Below are 19,762 nucleotides of genomic sequence, written 5' to 3' on the forward strand. Positions count from 1 at the left end.
TGAAAACCACAAATAAATTCACAATCAGATGCCTTCTTCCTTCCAGAGGGCCCAAGGAACCTCTCAGTATTTCATTTCAGCAAAATCAGTAAAGAATTTACTTTGAGGAAGTGAAAATCAGTTTCGATCTAGCTAACCCTCTGAAAATCTGTTGCTTGTTTTCCAGAGAATGCAGGGATTGATAATTGAGGTTTAGAATGTTGTCTTTTGTTACACAGTTTCCATTGAGTAATGAGTAAAGCTGACAGTTTTGCATCTGCCTCCATTATTATTTTTGTTATACTTAAAGACTAGGTACAGTGTGGTCACAGATACGCGAGTGCATTAGTGGAAGTGGAAAATACTTTGGCGACTGAAGCGGCTGTCTGTGATCTCACTCTCTGGCCGGGATCCTGGTGGCCTCGGACGTTTGGGGAGCCTTTCTGTGCACAGTAGCAAATCTCTGAGCCAGGGTTGGAAAGACAAGCTCAAGAGTGTTTTCCTTGGCACATGGGCAGCCTCGGTTCTACCCAATATAGAGGCAGGTTTCTAAGGCTTTCACTGGGGGAATCATCTTGCATTTCCTTTTAGTGACGTTAGCTCCTCTGGAAGCACTTTATAGCACTCTGAGAAATATGAGTATTTAGCTTGCGGATACCACAGTGTGGGGCTGTCCCTTAACAGAGTGGCTGTGGAGTGGGGTGCCTGGCAACCGCAGCCACCCTTCCACTGAGCAATAGAATTTCAGAGGCCAGGTTGAAGGGAGTCGTGTATATTCCAATAAAGATTCAACATGGGGTCCATTCATTTCCCTGGCCATTTTCTGAGCCCCTGCTCTATGCTAGGCTTGGTGCTGGGCCCTTGAGCATGCAGAGATGGATAAGGCACAGCCCTTGCCCTGGATAAATGCTGTAATCGAGGAAAGGACAGTGTGCTGCGAGCCCAGGAGGAGCCAGTTAGCAGCCAGGAAGGAGAAGGAGGCACAGAGGGAAGGGGAGGAAACCCCTCTGCTGAGGCTCAGAGGCATGAGACAGAGGGCACATCAGGGGCTGCATGGAGGGGCTGGCATAGTTGGGGCATCACATGAGACGTGGAGGAAGAGGCTGGAAAGGTAGTGTGGGGCAGAGCCCAGAAACCTTGGATGCTGTGCTAAGGAGTTTTCACATTGCCTGTTGGGATAGAAAGCCACTGGGTATTTTTAAGTAGGTGAGGGGCATGGTCTAATAGGGTTTGAGAAAGATCACAGGGTATAGACTGGACTGGAAATGGAGAGAGCAAAAGCAGGGAGATGTATGAGGGGATAGGAAGCACTAACAGATTGGAGTCAGTGTCTGTGGCCTTTAAATCTAAACCTGAAGACCAACCAGGGGCTGAGAACGCTCGGAAATTCTTGTGCTTCACATATTGCTCTCCTTCTCCCTGCCAAAAAAGTGTTTGCTTCTTTAATAGAAAGAGAAAGAAAGAAATATCTTGCTTTTTTTTTTTTTACTTCTAAAACTGTAGTATATATTCATAGCTAAAGGTTAAAATAATATAAAATTGTATAAAGCAGAAAATAATCCTGCAGTTTCATACCCAAAGATGGCTATCGATAACAGATTGAGCAGTGTATTCTCTGTGTGTGATCTCTCTATTGTTACAGGCATACCTGATGTTTTTCACTTAAAAACATATCATGGATATCTTTCCGTGTCAGTTCTTAGAAATATATTTTATCCTTACAATAGCTGCATGATGTTCCGCTACTTGGATATAAAATAATTTATATAAACCATGTGTTTTTTGTATAATTATAAATTACAAACAATGCTGCAGTGAACATTTCTTATTAATGTTTGTAGTAGTATTGCTGCAATTTGTAGTAGTATTGCTGTAGAGTAAATTTCTAGAAGTGGAATTACTGGGTCCTAGAAAACACATTATTTGACATCCAAATTCTCCTCCCAAAAGTTTCTATCAATTTATGCTGTAGTCACTCTTGTATAGTGTGACTTTTTCCACACGCTCATCAACACTAAATATTATCGATTTTTAAGAACTTTGTCAGTATAAATGGGAAAAAATATCTTGTTTTAGTTTGTAATTCCTTGATTATTACTGCATCTTGGGAATCTTTCACATTTTTATTTACATTTATACTCTTCCACAAATTGCTCATCTTTTGTAACATTATTTGCATTTATTGTAGGAGCTCTTTATATATTAGGACTGTTGACTGTCTTATAAATTGCAAATATTTTTCCTATTCTATTTGTCTTTCAGCTTCATGTATGGTGTTTTATTTGATCATGCAGAAGTGTGTGGGTTTTGAGAAATGGACCCCAATATGTCAGTCTTTTTTTAATGGTTTTGGGTCTTATGTCACACTTAAGCCTTTGCGTACCTCAGCATTATAAAATTATTCTTCTGTATTTTATTCAAGTACTCGTATTATTTAGATTTCAACTCCCTAATTTATCTGTAATTTATTCTGTTTTAGGAATGAAGTAGAGATCCAGCTTTATATTTTTCCAAATCAATAATCATTTGTCTCAATATCATTTATTGAAGGATTGTTCCTTTTCCTATTGATTTGAAATATACCTGCATCGTATACTAAATTTCTGTATCTCTATGTATGTATTGCTGGGCTCCCTTTATTTGTCTAACTCTGTAGCAATACTATACTGCTTAATGACTGGGCATCACAGCACATTTTATAACAAGCCCCTCTCTTCATTCTTCTTGTTAAAAATGTTTATTTTCATACATTTCCTCTTCCAAGTGAACTTTGGAATCATTTCAGATATGAAATGTGTATGTTAATTAGGCAATAATTGACATCCTTGCAATGTTGTGTCTTCCCATCTAAGAATATTATATATTTCCTTACTTATTTACATCTTCTTTCAATCCTTCAGATATTTTTACTTCATTAGTTTTTACCTGAATTACCAAAGTGTTACATTCTCATTGCAACAACTCAGATACAAAGAGATGTAGATAAAAGGTTTGTATTCTTATGAATTGTGCCTTTATTTAGTAAAATGGATGCTTTGGAGAAGGATTAGTAGGCCCAGGATATGTGTATACTTGATTTTAATAAATGTTATATATTATTTTTCTATCAAATATGTTTTATTCATATAAGTCTTACACATTTCTAAGTTTATTCCTAGGTGTTTTATAGTTTTGCTGTTATTGTAAATTGCCCTTTTTTTCCATTGTGTTTTCTAGCTGATGATTACTGTTATATAAGAATGACATTGATTTATGTATATTTATTTTGAAGTTAACTTTGTTATTCTAATAGTTTTTCAGTTGATTATCCTAAATTGTCTAATTATATCACTAATGTGATAACTAATCATATCACCTGCAAAAATGACACTGTGATATGCATCTTTAATATTCCACATTTGTTGTCTTGCTTTATCACATTCAGCATAGTGTTAAATGATAGCAGTATGTCAGATATTCTTGATTTGTTCCTATTTAATAGGATTTCAATATTAAGAACATTGTTTTAATTTTCTAATATGTATCCTTTATCACATCAAGGAAGTCTGTGCTTTATCAGGACACGCCAATGAGTTTTATTTGATAATATTTTATTTGGAATCCCTGCATCTTGATTTATTAATGTGATTGGTCTCTGTTTTATGCCACCTCTGTCAGGTTTGGGTGTAATGGTTATGCTAGAATCGTAAAATGAACTGCAGCTATTTCTGATTTTTCCTGTTCTGGAACAGTTTAAGTAACATTAAGTTTTTCTTTTACGGTTTTATGCATGAGCTCCTTAAAAATCATCTAGATATTGTATTTTAATTATATTAGGTTGGTGCAAAAGTAATTGCAGTTTCTGCGATTAAAAGTAATGGCAATTACTTTTGCACCAATCTAATAGTATCTTTCTCCATTATTAATATTTTTCTCTTTATTAGTAAAGTTTTTTGCCTCTTCTTCAGAGAACTTTGAGAAGATATATTTTCCTACTAAGCATTCATTTCATCTAGATTTTCAAATATGTTACCATAAAATTTACACATACCACTATTTTAACATCTCTTCCATATTTGAAATCATATCCCCGCTCTCATCCCTAATATTGTTCATCTGTGTCTTTTTCCTCAGTCGTACATACCAAAGGATTGTCCATTTCATTGATTTTCTCAAAGAACCAACTTTCAGTTTTATTTATCACTTTGCTAGACTGTTGATTTTTTAAAAATTCATTATTTATGCTTTTATATTTTAAATTGTTTTCTCGTTTCTTTTTTTTCTAGTTCTATATAATGAATACTTAGTTCACTTTTTAAATGTTTTTTAATTATTAATATAAGCATTTGAGGCTGTGGACTTTTCTCTCGGTGGTTACATGGCCTTGCATCATTGTGGATAATTTTGATATTTTAATTTTAACTTATTTTTTCATCTCAGAATTAATTGGTAAGTGTTTTTTCTTTCCCAAATAATTATTTTTAAAAATTTGTTTTTACCCATGGGACAGAGAAGGGGGTGGAATTGCTCCAGATGCCCCGAAGCCACACGGGTTATGAGTGTGGGAGGTATAATTTCCCCAAAAGGAAATCAAGGGCTGTTTCCAAAATAGGTAGTGGGTGTTAGGCAGAAAAAAGTGTCAGTTTCTTCTCTATTCCCAATTGTCATTGAAGGGTTAAATGAGCTAGTACATGTAATATACTCAGCACAGTGTCCAGCATGAAAAAAGGCCAATAACAGTAACCAGATGCATGGCCTCTCCTCATGCCCCTTCTTACTGCCAGTCAGAACCCCAGTGCACGCTATGCCATCCATTGCACTCTGGGGGAACGTTTGCAAACAGTGGGTTACCTCTTTGTGCCTGTACATTACCAGGCAATCCCCAGGGCATGAGGGGATCTATAGTTGTGTCCTCATTTCACCTTGGGGAGCCAGGAGGTGATTTGGCTTCCCTGGACTTCAGGATTCTGTCCAGACAGCAGGACTTTGCCCACGTGCCTTTGTGATTCATGAGCCACAACCCCAAGTCATACACAAGGCCATGTGCTCATCCAGAAAGCGTGGCCTCTGACCACCTGCCATGTGACTGCCTGCGCCTGCCCCCTTCTGCAGACCGAGGAAACTGTCTCAGTGACAGTAAGCTTCCAACAGCTTTCACAAAAGGAATACTCTCTAAATGAGGATTTGTTCTGAAGCCCTGTTTTGCTTGTTGGATATTAATTAGCAGGTGCTAGTTAATACTCACAGTCTTCCCCATCTTCTCAGGGAGCCTGGGCCGCCTGCTGAGATCTCATCATGCAGTAGATGGAAATGCTTTGTGCTCTCTTAAAGAGAGCACACACATCCTAATGAGCTGCTGCTTTGTTATTTCATTTGGAATTTATCAGGACAGTTTATGTGATCAAACCACACAAATATAGTTCTGCATGCCAGCACTCCTGAATACTGAAGTTTGAAAGTGATCTTTTTAAGGCAGAGCAGGAGAACATGGAAAAAAGTCTTTCATCTCAAACTTTGAAAAAGGGAGAGAGAGAAAATGGAAAGTATAAGATGGAAATGTGGCACATTTTTATGCTGTAGAGGGTTTTTTTTTCCCCTCAACACAGCAGAATTTTCCTTATTAAAAAGATAGCTGTATGAGAAAAACCAAAACCAGACTTGGGTTGGAAGTGAGACAGGGTGGCGATGGGAGAACAAGGGAGCAGTGAGTCTCTGGGCTTGTGGGAAGCCCTGGTGCCAGCCGTGGGCTTTGGCTTGGGGAGGCTGCAAGCGCCCAGCTTCAAGCAGGCTCTGGGCCATCGAGTATGGGTGTCCCTCAGCTTCAGAGAAGGTGTCTGTTCGGAAGAGCACCTCCTTTGTCAGCCTGGCACTCCCTCCTTGGGGCCGGGTGTCCTGTGGACACCTCTGGTGGGGAGCCTGTATTCACTGTCAAGAAGCAGGTTTGGCCACCTGCCCCTTGTGTTGAGGCCAGCCCAGCTGCGGAGGGCTTCTGGAGCAGAACGAGGTGAGAGCTGCCCACTCTGGCCCTGGGGGTTTGCCTCACCACGGCAGTCTGGTTGGCACTCATGTGGCAGCTACAGCAGTGTCACCAGGCCCTGTGTGGGGCATGGAAGGAGGGAGCAGAGCCCAAGCATGGTCTGGGATCTGTCTCAGAGGAGGTCCAGTCTGCGGGTGGGCATAGCCATGGGGCAGATGCCAGCTGCCAGCAGTGTCCTGGGGATTGGGGGAAGACAGGCCACAGCAGGGGTCCTCACACCCCCAACTCTCTGCCTGGAATCCTCATCCCTGTGCCAGCCAATGACTTCCAGCCCCCAGCCTCCAGCCCCTAGCACTGCTGTCTGTCCCAGATCTTTGGAGTCAGGCAGTCCTGAATTCAAATCCTGATTCTCTCACTTGCAAGCTGTGTGATCTTGGCCAATTGAAACTAAGCTTCAGTTTCCTAATCTGTAAAATGGTGGGGAACAGGAGTGCCTTCTGTACAGGGTCACTGCTAAGGTGCCATGGTAAACACAATACTTCCCTTCCCTAGAGTAGACAGTGGCTGTTACTGTCAGGGTTGTTTCCCCCAACAGGTCTGCACCTCTCAGCCTTGCCTGGTCCCTGGCACTGTCCAGCCCCAAGGCAGCCAGGGCCAATGGCTGATCCAGTTACTGTCCATCTTCATAAGGCCAACATCACAATGTCATCTGCTTTGGTAACTCTGTGTAAATAGGAATAGGAGCTGAGATGTCCAGCTGTGCTGTCCCAGTCCAGGTGACAGCTCCAAGCACTGGTCCAACTGAGGGGTGGCCACCATGCAGTCAGCATCTGGGCGCCATCCACGGTTGTGGCAAACCCAGCTGGGCTCATTCCTCCCATGCTGCTGCTTCAAATAGGGCCAGCCGTAAGGTCAGCTCAGCTTCTTATGCACTTCAATGGTCCAGGCCCTGGACTGGGAGACTCGTGTAAACCACCGTTATTACCCTTATTCACAGTCAAGGAAACTGAGGCCCTGGGAGGTAAAAAGGCTTGCCTAAGGCCACCCAGCTGGTGAGTGGGAGAGCCTGGGTTCCGAGTCTCCTGGATCCGGGCCCCACGTTCTCTCACTTATACCACAGCTGCTTGTCATGTGGCAGAGCTGGAAGGACCCGCAGGACTGGGTGGGACACTGATGATGGGACCTGGGGCTGACCAGACTGACCACAGTGGACATGAGGGAGGTGGAGAGTAGCAGGTGGTAGATGGCACAGGGGAGGCAGCCACAGTAGAGTCATGAGCCCTTTTGGAGAGTGTTGACCCCATAGGGGAAATCAGGCAGGGACAGCCATAGCCTGGGTTCACCTATGCCCCTATCTTGCCTCACTGGCTGCCATACACCAGAGAGTCTGGCTGGAGTAAAAGAAGAACCGCCCATAGACAACCTGGACAGACCTGTGCTCAAATCCTGCTTCTGCCAGTTCCCAGCTGTGTGGCCACAGACAAACGGTATTCCCGGTGCACTCTCAGCTTCAGTTTCTTTCCTTATAAAATCACAATGAAACCTCCCTGACAACAGCATTTTTCTTATGAATCGATAATCTGGGCAAAGCTCTTAGTTTAGGACCTGGCACACAGTATGTGCTCGGTAAGCATTAGCTCTCTTTATCATCACTTGACTGGTGGTGGCTCTCTCTTCAGCTACAAAACGAGGGTAACATGTGCTTCATAAGGTTATTGTATGAGTTAAATAAAATATGCCTTCTCTCATGCATTCCTTTGTCAGCCAGCGTTTACCAAGCAGCTCCTGTGTGCTCAGTTCTAGATGCTGGAGATTGAGCTCCTGGAGCAAGACACACTTCCTGCCCTTGAGGCGTTAGGCCTGATGGGGAGTCAGATTTGAAATACACAAATGATGCAAACAAGTGTCTGTGTGCGGTTGTGGGGTGTGCCAACTACATGTAGAGCTCAGCACTGTGCCTGACATGGTACAAGTGGAAGGTGGTTATTCTTACGATTTCATTATAGTTTAGGCTTATACATATCTCTGTTGTGGACTAATACAGTACTGAAAAGATTTCTGTGGATTTGTGCAGCGTTAACTGTAGGAGACTTGCTGCTTGTGCTGTGGTTTTCATTGTGGGAGTGAAAGGCTGTTTATAGGGAAGTTCTTTCTAGGCATTGCCTAGGCTCAAGGTCTCCCCACATCACTGGAGCCAGGAGGCTTCCTTTTGAGGGGTGCTCTACCCAGTCCGCAGCAGGTATGGCCTTGGCTCACACTCCTGGGTCTTGAGGAGTAGGCAGGTGTGGGCATCTGCACGTTTTGTAGAGGGGAATTATGAACTCTGTGGGCCTCAGTTTGCAGAGCACCACTCAGGGATCCACTTCCAGGAACCCAAGAGGAGGCCCAGTGTCCGGCACCTGTTCTCACAGGGCAGCACAGGGTGCACCTTTCATGTTGAGGGTGTTACTTGAGAAAAGGCAACTCCCTCTGTGTTTCTGATGACCAGTGGATGGGAACATGGGTGCAGCAGCCTGATAGACCTGGGTTCAAATTCCATCACCCTTGCTGTGAGGCCTTGGGCAGGTTTCTTAATCTCTTTGAGCTTTAGTTTTCTCCTCCTACTTTCCAGGGTTGGTGGCAGGATCCCATGAGACAGGAGGGAAGTTTCTGTCTTGGATTTGATACCCAGGGAGCAAGTTGCCTTTCCCCCCATCCTGCTCTCCAGTTTCTCTGCTTCTAGGCTGAGCTTTCACTCTGCCACTCTGAGCCAGCTGGGCCGAAGTCTGCACATTGCGTCTGGAATAAAGCTGCCCTATGTCCCACATCTCTTCACTCCCTGCCATGCACTAGAGGATGCTTTTTGTTGTGGTTGAAGCAGTAATAGCATTTTTCAGGATTGCCGTTGCTGACGCTTCAGGGTGGTAACTGAGTTACATTTTTTTTTAAATTGTGCACATGTACCCTAAAACTGAGTTACATTTTTAAGAGAGGAGAAGAAAAACAAGGTGAAGAGAAAGAATAAATCTGTGGATTCAAACTCACCAAACTTGGAGCTTCTCTACAAGGGAAATTATTTCTAATTATTAAAATTTTGGAAACATGGTACCACCAGGAAGAAAGGAAGTGGAAATGGCTCCTGTGAGAAGTATTAGCATATGTTTCTGTGATTTAACAGTTTCCCGTAACAATGTGCATCTATTTTAAAAGCAGACGAATGACTCATGGTATCTAGCACCAGTGCTCCACTGTAATGGCAGGAAGTGTGTACCCTGGAGGAGGCAGGCTTGGGTTCAACTCCTGTCTCTTTCATTTACCAGCTGCATGACCTTGAGCAAGTTACACATCCTCTCTGAGTTTCCTTTTCCTTCTCTGTAAAATAGCTTGTTAGAAGGATAAATCAGATAATGAACATATAACTCTTAGTGCAGTGCTCATCTATCCATGCACAAACCCTCACAACTTTTATATAATTAACCAAGTTAATTCCAATATTTGTAATAATTCTTAGTTGTTTAATAGTAAATTTTTAAGGCTATAAATTTCCCCCTGATTACCATTTTGGTCAGAACCCATAAGTTTTGATATGTAGTATTCTCCTTGTCATTGTCTTCAAATAGATTCTTCAAACAGATTTTTTATTTTTTCTTTGACCTAAGAGTTATATGAGTGTGTGTGTGCATGCGTGTGTGTTTTCAAATGGTTAGTTTTTTTTCTGTATTTATTGTTAAATCCTAGATGTAGTAAGGTCAATGAAAGTAGATAATATAGCATTTACTTTTTAGGACTTACTGAGGTTTTCTTTATATACAATCAATTTTTGTACTCCATGGGTACCTGAAAAGAACTATATTTTCATTTATAGAAAACCAAGCTTGTTATTATTATTATTATTAGGCAGAGTCCTGCTGTGTTGCCCAGGCTGGAGTGCAGTGGCCCAATCTCAGCTCACTGCAACCTCCGCCTCCTGGGTTCAAGTGATTCTCCTATTTCAGCCTCCCGAGTAGCTGGGATTACAGGCGCCCACCACCACACGTGACTAATTCTGTGTTTTTGGTAGAGATTGGCTTTCACCGTGTTAGCCGAGCTGGTTTTGAACTCCTGACCTCAGGTGATCTGCCTGCCTTGGCCTCCCAAAGTGCTGGGATTACAGGCATGAGCCACCATGCCTGGCCTTTTTTTTTTTTTTTTTTTTTTTGAGACAGAGTCTTGCTCTGTCACCCAGGCTGGAGTGCAATGGCATGATCTCAGCTCACTGCAGCCTCCACCTCCTGGGCTCAAGCAATCCTCCTGCTTCAGCTTTCCAAATAGCTGAGACTACAGGTATGCACCACCATGGCCAGCTAATTTTTGTGTTTTTTGTAGAGACGGGGTTTTGTCATGTTGCCCAGGCTGGTTCCGAGCTCCTAGGCTCGAGCAATCCGCTCACCTCGGCCTCCCAAAGTGGTGGGATTACAGGCGCGAGCCACTATGCTCTGCCCTAAAACTTGTTAACGTTGTTACTGTAATACTGTATCATTGCATTAATATATATATGTGTATATGTATATATATGTGTATGATGTATACATATATGCTTATATAAATTCTGGAAAAGACATACCAAAGCCTCCCTCTATGGTTGTGTTTTTGTTGAACTCACTTTTCATTTCTAACTTTTTTATGCTATGTATTGTTTGATGTGTTGTTTCTTTATGCATAGAAATTTGTAACCATTAGATCTTCTTGATCACCTGGACTTTTGTTTTTTAGAGCAAGCACTCTTCCTTGCTTTGCTTAATGTTTTCTGCCTTGAATTCTGCTTTATGTCACTTCTCCTGCCCAACTCTGCCAGTGTGGTGGGCACAATAGCAGTGCTCCTGGAGGGCAGCTGAAAGGACGTTCCATCCTTGGCCCATGCACATCTCCAGGTGGTCTGAAGCTCGGCCCTGCAGCTAGTCAGCCAGCTGAGAGCTGTGTAGTGGCTGAATAGCCAGCGGCCCTTCCCCTTCCCCAGCCAGGCAGTTTGTCCTCAAATCCCCCCGGCTTATCACTGGCCTGTGATGGATCTTACTAAGATTCTTTTAGACATAGGTTTGATCTTCAAAAGCTTTGCAGACTACATGTTACTATTTCTGTAACATAGCTGTATTTTTATTTCACATCTTATTTTCTTATTAAGCACGATTGGCCAAATTCTCTAGCTTTAGAGGGAATTTTTTGTACTGAGAGCTGTTGCTTTTTTAATTTTTTCTTTTGTTTCTTAGTTAATGTATGGTGAGGTAGGGGTAGGGGAACAGATAGACAAATAGACAGCTGGGCAAATAAAGAAGAAACTGAATTCAGCCCAAATGGGTGTTCTCCTGGACATGGCACCTTAGACCTATTAAACTTCAGCAGTTGGTAAGAAACACAAGTATTCATCCCTTTCATGTCCTGTTATTTTCTAGTTGGGTTACAGGTAAAAGCCTTATTGCTGGAGAGTATTTGAACTAGAAATGCTAAAATCTTGCCAGCATACATTTTGGTTGTTGCTCAGATGTTTGATTTATAGTTGGGCAGTGCTGTGTGAAAAAATTAGTAATCAGGATTGGAATTAAAGTCCAAATATTATCTCAGTTTTCCATAAGTCACCCTTTATATTTTTTAGCAGATCAGTACTATTTTGTGCTATTTTGTTCTGGTTTGTGGTAAGCTCCTTCCATCATGAAATATCTTCTTTAATTTTAGGAATCTATCTTCTGGATTTAATCTACATTGATTCTGCATATCCTGCCTCAGGCAGTATCATGGAAAATGAACAAAGATCCAATCAGATGAACAATATTCTTCGAATAATTGCTGATTTACAAGTTTCCTGCAGCTATGGTTAGTACCCTTGTTGTTAGAATTGTGAAATCTTACGTCATTGAAATTTGGGTCTTACCAGTGAGAAAGCTCTAGAAACCTTTCAAAGAACTACAAAGTTCCTCATTTTAATATATCGAGCATCAAACATGTACTAGATCCTTTTATACATAGGTTTGATCTTCAAAAGCTGTGCAAACTAGGTGTTACTATTTCTGTATTACAGGTGAGGAAATTGAGGCTGAAAACAGTTTAGTCACTTGTCCACAATCACGCGTCTAGTGAGTGGCAGAGCTCAGGTCTTTCTGGCCCCTGGGTCATTCATTCATGAAGAGCTTTCTGGGCAGCTCTCCTCCAAGCAGATTCGGGGACCAGCCTTCATTGTTCTGTGACTCTGCTGTCTCCCATGGCCTCAGAATCCTCCACTGGACTCTGCATCCAGCTGGCAGGTGCAGGATGAGAGAGAACCATATATGGGTGGGTTTTATGGTCCAGGCTTGCAAGCAGTGCAGGCCACTTTTGCTGACAGGGGCTAGGAGATATAATCTAGCTGTGGGCCTGGGAGAAGGGAAATGATGTGGTAAGCGACTGGCCACACTCTGCTGCACGTGGCCAAATCCACAGTGTGCCCATGATGGTGGGGTGTGTAAGAGGGATGGAGAAAATCATTGGAGATGATGTCAGAATGCTGGATGGGCCATCCATGTGGGGATTGATTTCACCCGAGAAGATGGCAGACTTGGGGTGTGGAGCTTGACTATGAGCCAGGTGCTCAAGTCTTCTGGGAATTAGCACTGATGAGCAGGCGGTTAGTCAGCGGAAGTCAGCCGTGAAGGGGGTGTGGTGCATGGGGGGTGGGGCTCTAGGCACCTGCCTCTGGGGAGCAAGGCTTTCACAAGAGGGCAGAGGAGTAAAAGTCCGGAAGCACCAAAGAAGGGTGGTAGGAAGGAGCCTAGCCTCACTTGCTGTGCGTAGGGTGTGAGAAAATCCACAGCCTCCGTTTGGGAATGTCACAGGGAAGCCAGGGTGGGTTCACCAAAGCAAGAGCCCTGCTCACCAGCCCCTCCACAGCATCCCCAGGCAGGGTGGGGGTTCCCACACTTCAGGGCCGCTTTCCTCTGACAGGAGGGGTAGGAGGCACCTGTATTCCCAGTGCAGGTTTCGCCTGGCCTGGGCCATCTCCAGCACAAATACATTGATACTTGTTGTTCCATTGGCCAGCAGAGCAACCACAGACATGGGCTTCAGGGTCAGATGGACTCCGGTTCCTATTCCAGCTTTGTCTCTTGAAAAGTCACTTTCTCCCCTTGAAGGTTTTCTCATGCATGAAAATGGGGATAGGATTCATGCAGAGCCCTTAGCACAGTCCCTGGCATTTCATGAGAGCCCAGCAAATGCTCTCTTACCACTGTTCACCTTCACCTGCGTCATCTCCATCAGTTTTGTAAAACAGGTATCATCCTCACTTCAGAGAGAGGACACTGAGGCTTCAGAGAAACAAAATGATCTGCTCAGAATCTCGCTATGAAAGGCCAGAGCTATCGGGTGCTCATGCTGCACCTGGACGCACCTCTCCAGAAAGCGAGGGTCCTTCCTCGCCCTCTTTTCTGTTCCTCTTCACGACCTCCTCTACTCCCTCCACCTCTCCTCTTGGCTTGTTCTGTCCCACCCAGTGGCCCTCTCAGAAGGAGTGCAGTGACTGTGAAGGTCTGCAGAGAGCAGCTGACACCAGTCCCTCCAGAAACGGGCAACACCGTGTGGCAGAAGCCTTCCATCACCTGAAGTCCCAACCCAGCTCTGCCCTTCTCAGCAATGCGACCTGTGCAGGTTGCCACAGTTTCTTCCTCTGTGCAATGGGGATATTGTTTCTCCCACGTGAGGCAGGTGTGAAGGTTAACAAAGATGACTCCTATAAAATTACCTGCTGCAGAGCCTGGTACAGGCATGTTCAGGTGCCTGGACCCCTCCCTTTCTTCCTAGGGTGCAGCAGCTCCAGTCATAGGCCAGCTTCTGGGTTAGGCCTCCACACCTGGCTGGACAGGGTCTGTTCATTCATTCTTGAATTCATGTCACACAGCTGGTGGGTAGATATAGGAGGCTTGCCCAGTTACCCCAATGGAAACCTGTTTTAGGGCACAGACACCTGGCTCTGGTCTGTTTTGGAGGCCAGGGAGCCATCTTTCCCCAGTCCCTGATATCTGAGTGGAGGTGCAGCTCCTCCTTCCTGGCTAAAAAAACATGGTGGCCTCAGAGTGTGGTGACTGAGGCCCGGTCATCTGGGGGGTACTCCTTGAGGGCAGAACCCAGGCCTGATGATCCCTCTGTTCCAGTGGCCAGCACAGGGCCAGTCCCCAAAGAGCATCAGCAACTGCTGGAAGAGTGAATGAGTCTCAGTATCCTGGGAGCATCTAAAATCATGATTTCTATACTTCTCATCTGGGGGCCTAAAGATGGGAGAGCCTAAAGTTTCTGGATGTGGTCCACCTTTTGCAGATCACCTCACCACCCTGCCCCATGTGCAGAAGTACCTGAAGTCCGTACGCTACATTGAAGAGCTCCAGAAGTTTGTGGAAGACGACAACTACAAGTAAGTCCCCACGTATTCCTGTGTCAGGCCTCCCAGCCCCACTTTTGTCCTTAGTGCTCAGGTCCCTGCAAGTGGCCTAGCCCTTGTTGGGACCAGTGAGTAGCCACCTGCAGGGCTTATCAGAGTCCACAGCAGTAGCGCCCAGGCCCCAGCACACACAAGCACACGCGTGCAGTGTGATCTTTGACCTCACAGCCCCGCAGTGGTGATGTCTGAACAGCTCTCATACCCATCTCTGCCCCATCCTCATGGGCCCCCCAGTTCAGAGTAAGGTGTTGTGTTAACTTCTCAGTATGGCTTTCCCACATGGCGTGGATAATATGAACTTGGACCCCACAGCTGTGAATGGCACAGGCGTGGTGCTCTGGTTCTCACAAGTGACTCCCCCACCCACAGTGCTGGGTGGCAAGGCAGCTTCCAGCCATATCTCCAGACTAGCAAACAGAGTTCTCCAAGAGCCTGTTTCATGGATGAGACAGTTCCTTATAACTCTCAGCTCTCTGCAGTATTCAAGGCCCTACCTCCTTCCCCGTAGAGCCCCAGTGGAGTAGACCCAGTTCTCATAACAAACCCATGGGCCCTTTGGCCTCATCTTCCACTAACCCTGCTGAGGCTTTCAGTTCTTTCTTCATTTGTGGCATCTGGGAATTTATCCAGCATTTCTATGTATTTGGAGGGAAAAGAAGGATTTTTTTCGTGTTAACTCTGTCTGCCATACTGCTTGGCAAGTCCTCTTGGCCCATTTTCAGCTTGATTGAGACTAACTAAGAACCTCAGTACTTTTTCATATGACCTGGTATTAAGGCAAGTCCCAGCCATCTTGTAATCAATCATTTACCTCTTAAATGTCAACTTCACATTCACAGATGGTCCCCAACTTAGGATGGTTCAACTTAACGATCTTTCAACTTTACAGTGGTGCGAAAGCAACGCACATTCAGTAGAAACTGTACTTTGAGTACCCATACAGCCATTCTGTGTTTCATTTTCAGCACGGTATTTAATAAATGCCATGAGATATTCAACACTTCCTTATAAAATAGGCTTTGTGTTAGACGATTTTGTAAGCTCTTATAAGTGTTCTGGGCACATTTAAGGTAGGCTAGGCTAAGCTATGGTGTTCGGTAGGTTAAATGTATTAAATGCATTTTTGACTTGTAATATTTTCAACTTATGATGGGTTTATTGGGATGTATCCCCGTCGTAAGTTGAGGAGCATCTGTATTCTTTTAAATCTTATCTTATGATGGCTTCCAATATGCCATGATTCCTTGGAATCTTGTTATTCCAGTATATTTTTTATCTCTTCCAGTTTTGTGTCTGTGAATTTAATTAGCCAGACTGCATGGTCTTCATCTAAGTTCGTGAAAACTGTAGAGAACTGTAGCCACAGAGACAACCCCCACGTTACCCACAGTTCACTCACCAGGAAAGACCCTAAGGGGAACGGATGTTCAAGCAGTGTCCCACCTGGTCAGCTTTACAGGAGTGGTCTGCAGCCGTGGCTGTGAACCAGAGTCACCTGGGAAACTCTAACCATCCAGATGTCTGGGGTGGGGCCTGAAAAATCTGTATTTTTTCAAAGCTCCCTAGGTGGTGCTAATGATCTTTTGCAACATAGACATAATGCTTTTAGTTGTTTTATATAATAATTTGTTAAACTATAATAAGAAATTGTGATCTGTTACCCAATAGTAACAACAATAGATGAAAGCCAGAGATTACCATTAAAATTATGCTTACCACAAATCAAGCTCATTTTATTTATTTACGAAGCATTGGCTCTTCCTGAAAAGAGTGCCCTGGAGTACAAAATTATTCCCACTTAGTTTCTGGGATAATATTTTCCATTTATGCACCAGTATTGTGATAAAGGAGACAATGGTTTTTCATTAACACTAATATGCTTTAGACAGAAAAATGGCCTATAAGTACTTCTGACCATGAGATAATCTTTGGACAAACTGCAAATCATGAGTAATTACTCCTTCTACTTTGAAGGAGTAACGCCTCAGCACCTGATGCTAAACAACAGTCAGCCTAGCTCTTTGTTGTGGTCAAAGTGGACAAACCCAGGGAGGAGGCCTGCATTCTCACCCCCGGCCCTCAGACCATCTAGGGAGTTCCTCCTCAGGGAGGTCCTGGCCCCAAGGGGCAAGAGATGGGCAGAGCCTGTGATTCTGCTTGAGGACCCACACTCCATGGCCCAACTGACATCTGGAGGCTGGCTCCTCACCCACAAGGATGCAATGGCTTAGTTATTACCTTAGTGGCATTGCATTGCTGACATTCTCCCCCATCTGCTTTGGAGATGTTATGCCAAGAGGTCCAACCAGTGCTTTATTCCCCACAGCCTTTATTCTATTTTATTTTATTTAAGAAAAATTACCCAATTTCCCATTACCTAGAAAGCATGACCATTAGCATTAAGTGAACATACTTTTGGACATTTTTCTATGCATAGAAAATGTGTATATATGTAGGGAAGGATGGATAGATGGATGGATAGAAGGATAGAATATTAAAATTGGATTCTACTACACTGGCTATTTTTAATTTAAAATACTAACTTTAATTTCATTTTAATTTAACTAGAAAAAAACTTTCATGTGAAAAAAAAATGCTGCTCTTTAAATATTTATTTACCAAAAGAGAGATTATTTTCCAAAAGAGCCTTCTAAAATTAATAAAAGAGGGCCGGGCACAGTGGCTCATGCCTGTTCACGCCTGTAAGCCCAGCACTTTGGAAGGCCAAGGAGGGCGGATCACCTGAAGTCAGGAGTTCAAGAACAGCCTGACCAACATGGTGAGCCCCGTCTCTACTAAAAATACAAAAATTAGTCTGGCGTGGTGGCGCACGCCTGTAGTCCTACCTACTCGGGAGGCTGAGGCAAGAGAATCACTTGAACCTGGGAGGCAGAGGTTGCAGTGAGCTGAGATTGCGCCACTGCACTCCAGCCTAGGTGACAGTGAGACTCCATCTCAAAAAAAATAATAATAATAAAAGAGATCAGGAAAAACATTAGGAGGCTTGAGTCAATAAGTTTTATTTTAACTAGGTTTCCATTGTGAACAGTGTCAGCCAACTCTGGTTATGAAAGATGAGAATATTAGCCCTCTCCCCTTCCTTAACCTCCACTTCACCAGCTTCCAACTTTTTGTTAGTTGTGTTATTATTACCACATAGTCCAAGTCTATAACATAAGCATGTTCAGGAATCATAATTCTTACTGTTTAGTATTTTTAAACAGATTCAGTTTTTACCACCTGTTGTTTCTCCATAGTTTTTCCATTCCTGGAGTCTTTATTTTAATCAGTCCCTTAATTTAGCTGCGTTTCATCAGGAAGTAGGACCCCCTACCTACTGCTCCACCAGAAAAATAAAAGTGCTCACAGGGCCCGCATGCCCTGCATTCCCTCAGAGAAATGTCTGTGTTGGACTAGACCCGGCCTTGCTGGCTGCCCTCCTTTGTTTCTCTCCCTCAGCACTGCAGGCCGTGTGCCGTTGCCTCTGGGCTTTGGGTGTTGCTGTAGAGAATGAGCCCATCTAATTTTTTTTTTCCTCTTGTTAAGGGTCCTGTCTGCCTGGTAGGTGAAGAATTCCTTAAAGTTCAAAAGCTTCATAAGAGAATGCCTCAGAGTAGAGGGTTCTGTACCAGATTTCCCCAGACCATGGTGTCGTCATCTTTCTTCATGGCAGAAGAATTCCTTTTGTTTATATCTTTGACTACTTCTGTGCCATTTCGTGGCTTCTCTCTTCCAGGGATTCCAGGAATCCGTCCGTGTTGGATGCTCTCTGCCCGTCATAGCCATTCGCTTCTTGCTAACAGCGGCAACCTCCATCTTGTTCATCAGCTGTAACTGGGATTGTCTATTTCTACTTAGGTATTCATTCAGCACTCTCTTATTTCAGTCCTGGATTTGTTCCCCCTAGGTCTTCAATCTCCTTTTTTCTTCTCATTCCTTTGTTTTAGCATCTCATTTTTCGGGTTTTGTTTTACTTGTGTTTGTAATAAGTTGTTCCACTGCTCTAAGCACTTGAGGGGATTTCGTCTGCTCCTGGGGCTGCCTTCTCGGTTGGGCCATTGGGCAATGCTCACCTGTTCTCTTTCCTTCTTTTGCAAGAGGATGTTGGCTGTATTGCCATACCATTTCTTTTCTTCTGGCTCCCATTTGAGAAGCTCTGTCTGGATGTTCCATGGGTGTGATCCGAGGGTGGGAGAGATGTCTGGCCCTCCTCCCATGTGTGTGAGGGGGGAAACCCTTACTGCTAGCTGGGAGGTCCAGGGGTTTTAGTCTTTCTCCTCTTCTGTAGCCTGTGGGAGTAGAAGGCTCAGGCTCTGTGGAGGCAGTAAGCAAGCAGTCTGTTTCACATATGTGTGTTCTGGCAAAAGGCCTATGTTGGAGTTTCCTTCACCTCGTTGGGGAGCTGTATCCCATTCCAGAAAGAGGTACCCTCAGGTTTCACATCATGCCCCGTGGAGCCTTCATTTCCATCAGAGGAGCTGCCGTGCTCTCCACCTAGTTCCTTAGCAGCTGGTGCCATTCAGCAGAGGGAGCGATAAGGACCCCCACTCAGACCCAGTGAGACCCCTCATTGGGCTTGACAGGAGCCATGCCATGATGCAACTCTTGGTCCAGTTTCAGAATCCTCTTTTTCTTTCCTTAACTCTAATTCTTTGAAGTTCATGGCTTTAAATTATGCCCCTTCCCTTGTTTAGTTGCACCTGGTGAGTTCTTTTACTTGTAAGCTTTTATAATTTTTTGTTGGTTTTGGGAGGAGAGGGAGAGTCTGGCATCTAGTCTCACTCTGTCATTTTCACCCAGAAGTTCCTATTCGGTGCTTCAAAAAGATATATTGAAGGGCCAGTCCTCATAGCATGTCCGTTGCCTTGTGCCTCTCTAAGGGCATCTGATCATGGGGAGTGCAGTGTAATCATTAAACACTCCAGTTGAGAGGCCACGTGCGGTGGCTCATGCCTGTAATCCCAGCACTTTGGGAGGCCAAAGCGGGCTGGTCACTTGAGCTCAGGAGTTCGAGACCAACCTGGGCAACACGGTGAAACCCCACCTCTACTAAAAATACAAAAATTAGCCAGGCATGGTGGCACACGCCTGTAATCCCACCTACTTGGGAGGCTGAGGTATGAGAATCGCTTGAACCTGGGAGGCAGAGGGTGCAGTGAGGCGAGATCTTGCCACTGCACTGTAGCTTGGGCGACAGAGCGAGACTCTGTCTCAAAAAAGGGGAGGCCGAGGCGGGCAGATCATAAGGTCAAGAGATTGAGACCATCCTGGCCAACATGGTGGAACCCCGTCTCTACTAAGAATACAAAAATTAGCTGGGGTTGGGGACGCATGCCTGTATTCCCAGCCAGCTACTTGGGAGGCTGAGGCAGGAGAATCACTGCATTCCAGCCTGGCGACAGAGCAAG

At 44.3% G+C, this 19,762-nt stretch overlaps 1 protein-coding gene across 55 annotated transcripts in view, besides 8 other annotated features; it reads left to right on the forward strand.

Annotated features, from left to right (window-relative positions):
• Nucleotides 1–19,762, forward strand: part of RALGPS1 (Ral GEF with PH domain and SH3 binding motif 1) — a 308,385-nt gene that overhangs the window by 239,664 nt on the left and 48,959 nt on the right. For all 55 annotated transcript variants that reach the window (XM_011519233.2, XM_047424120.1, NM_001322321.2 and 52 more), the window contains 2 exons: nucleotides 11,624–11,761; nucleotides 14,234–14,327. In XM_011519233.2, the coding sequence (XP_011517535.1) occupies nucleotides 11,624–11,761; nucleotides 14,234–14,327 (232 nt within the window). The remainder of the gene's footprint in view (nucleotides 1–11,623; nucleotides 11,762–14,233; nucleotides 14,328–19,762) is intronic.
• Nucleotides 455–504: an enhancer, noted in NCBI's record as "active region_29032". NCBI's record gives its function as "activates an Ori minimal core promoter by ATAC-STARR-seq in GM12878 lymphoblastoid cells {active_cell/tissue: GM12878}" and the evidence as "EXISTENCE:reporter gene assay evidence [ECO:0000049][PMID:35858748]".
• Nucleotides 4,100–5,299: an enhancer, noted in NCBI's record as "P300/CBP strongly-dependent group 1 enhancer chr9:129920824-129922023 (GRCh37/hg19 assembly coordinates)". NCBI's record gives its function as "activates an origin of replication core promoter dependent on BRD2, BRD4, P300/CBP, MED14 and CDK7 cofactors, with strong dependence on P300/CBP, by STARR-seq in HCT116 cells {active_cell/tissue: HCT116}" and the evidence as "EXISTENCE:reporter gene assay evidence [ECO:0000049][PMID:35650434]".
• Nucleotides 4,100–5,474: a biological region, named in NCBI's record as "P300/CBP strongly-dependent group 1 enhancer GRCh37_chr9:129920824-129922023".
• Nucleotides 4,953–5,474: an enhancer, noted in NCBI's record as "OCT4-NANOG-H3K27ac-H3K4me1 hESC enhancer chr9:129921677-129922198 (GRCh37/hg19 assembly coordinates)". NCBI's record gives its function as "activates a minimal SCP1, AML or CMV promoter by ChIP-STARR-seq in primed H9 embryonic stem cells {active_cell/tissue: H9 hESC(primed)}" and the evidence as "EXISTENCE:reporter gene assay evidence [ECO:0000049][PMID:30033119]".
• Nucleotides 11,712–12,911: an enhancer, noted in NCBI's record as "CDK7 strongly-dependent group 2 enhancer chr9:129928436-129929635 (GRCh37/hg19 assembly coordinates)". NCBI's record gives its function as "activates an origin of replication core promoter dependent on BRD2, BRD4, P300/CBP, MED14 and CDK7 cofactors, with strong dependence on CDK7, by STARR-seq in HCT116 cells {active_cell/tissue: HCT116}" and the evidence as "EXISTENCE:reporter gene assay evidence [ECO:0000049][PMID:35650434]".
• Nucleotides 11,712–13,174: a biological region, named in NCBI's record as "CDK7 strongly-dependent group 2 enhancer GRCh37_chr9:129928436-129929635".
• Nucleotides 12,173–12,674: an enhancer, noted in NCBI's record as "H3K4me1 hESC enhancer chr9:129928897-129929398 (GRCh37/hg19 assembly coordinates)". NCBI's record gives its function as "activates a minimal SCP1, AML or CMV promoter by ChIP-STARR-seq in primed H9 embryonic stem cells {active_cell/tissue: H9 hESC(primed)}" and the evidence as "EXISTENCE:reporter gene assay evidence [ECO:0000049][PMID:30033119]".
• Nucleotides 12,675–13,174: an enhancer, noted in NCBI's record as "H3K4me1 hESC enhancer chr9:129929399-129929898 (GRCh37/hg19 assembly coordinates)". NCBI's record gives its function as "activates a minimal SCP1, AML or CMV promoter by ChIP-STARR-seq in naive H9 embryonic stem cells {active_cell/tissue: H9 hESC(naive)}" and the evidence as "EXISTENCE:reporter gene assay evidence [ECO:0000049][PMID:30033119]".

The sequence above is a fragment of the Homo sapiens genome, chromosome 9 (assembly GCF_000001405.40).
Source record: "Homo sapiens chromosome 9, GRCh38.p14 Primary Assembly".
In the NCBI taxonomy this organism is placed as follows: Eukaryota; Metazoa; Chordata; class Mammalia; order Primates; family Hominidae; genus Homo; species Homo sapiens.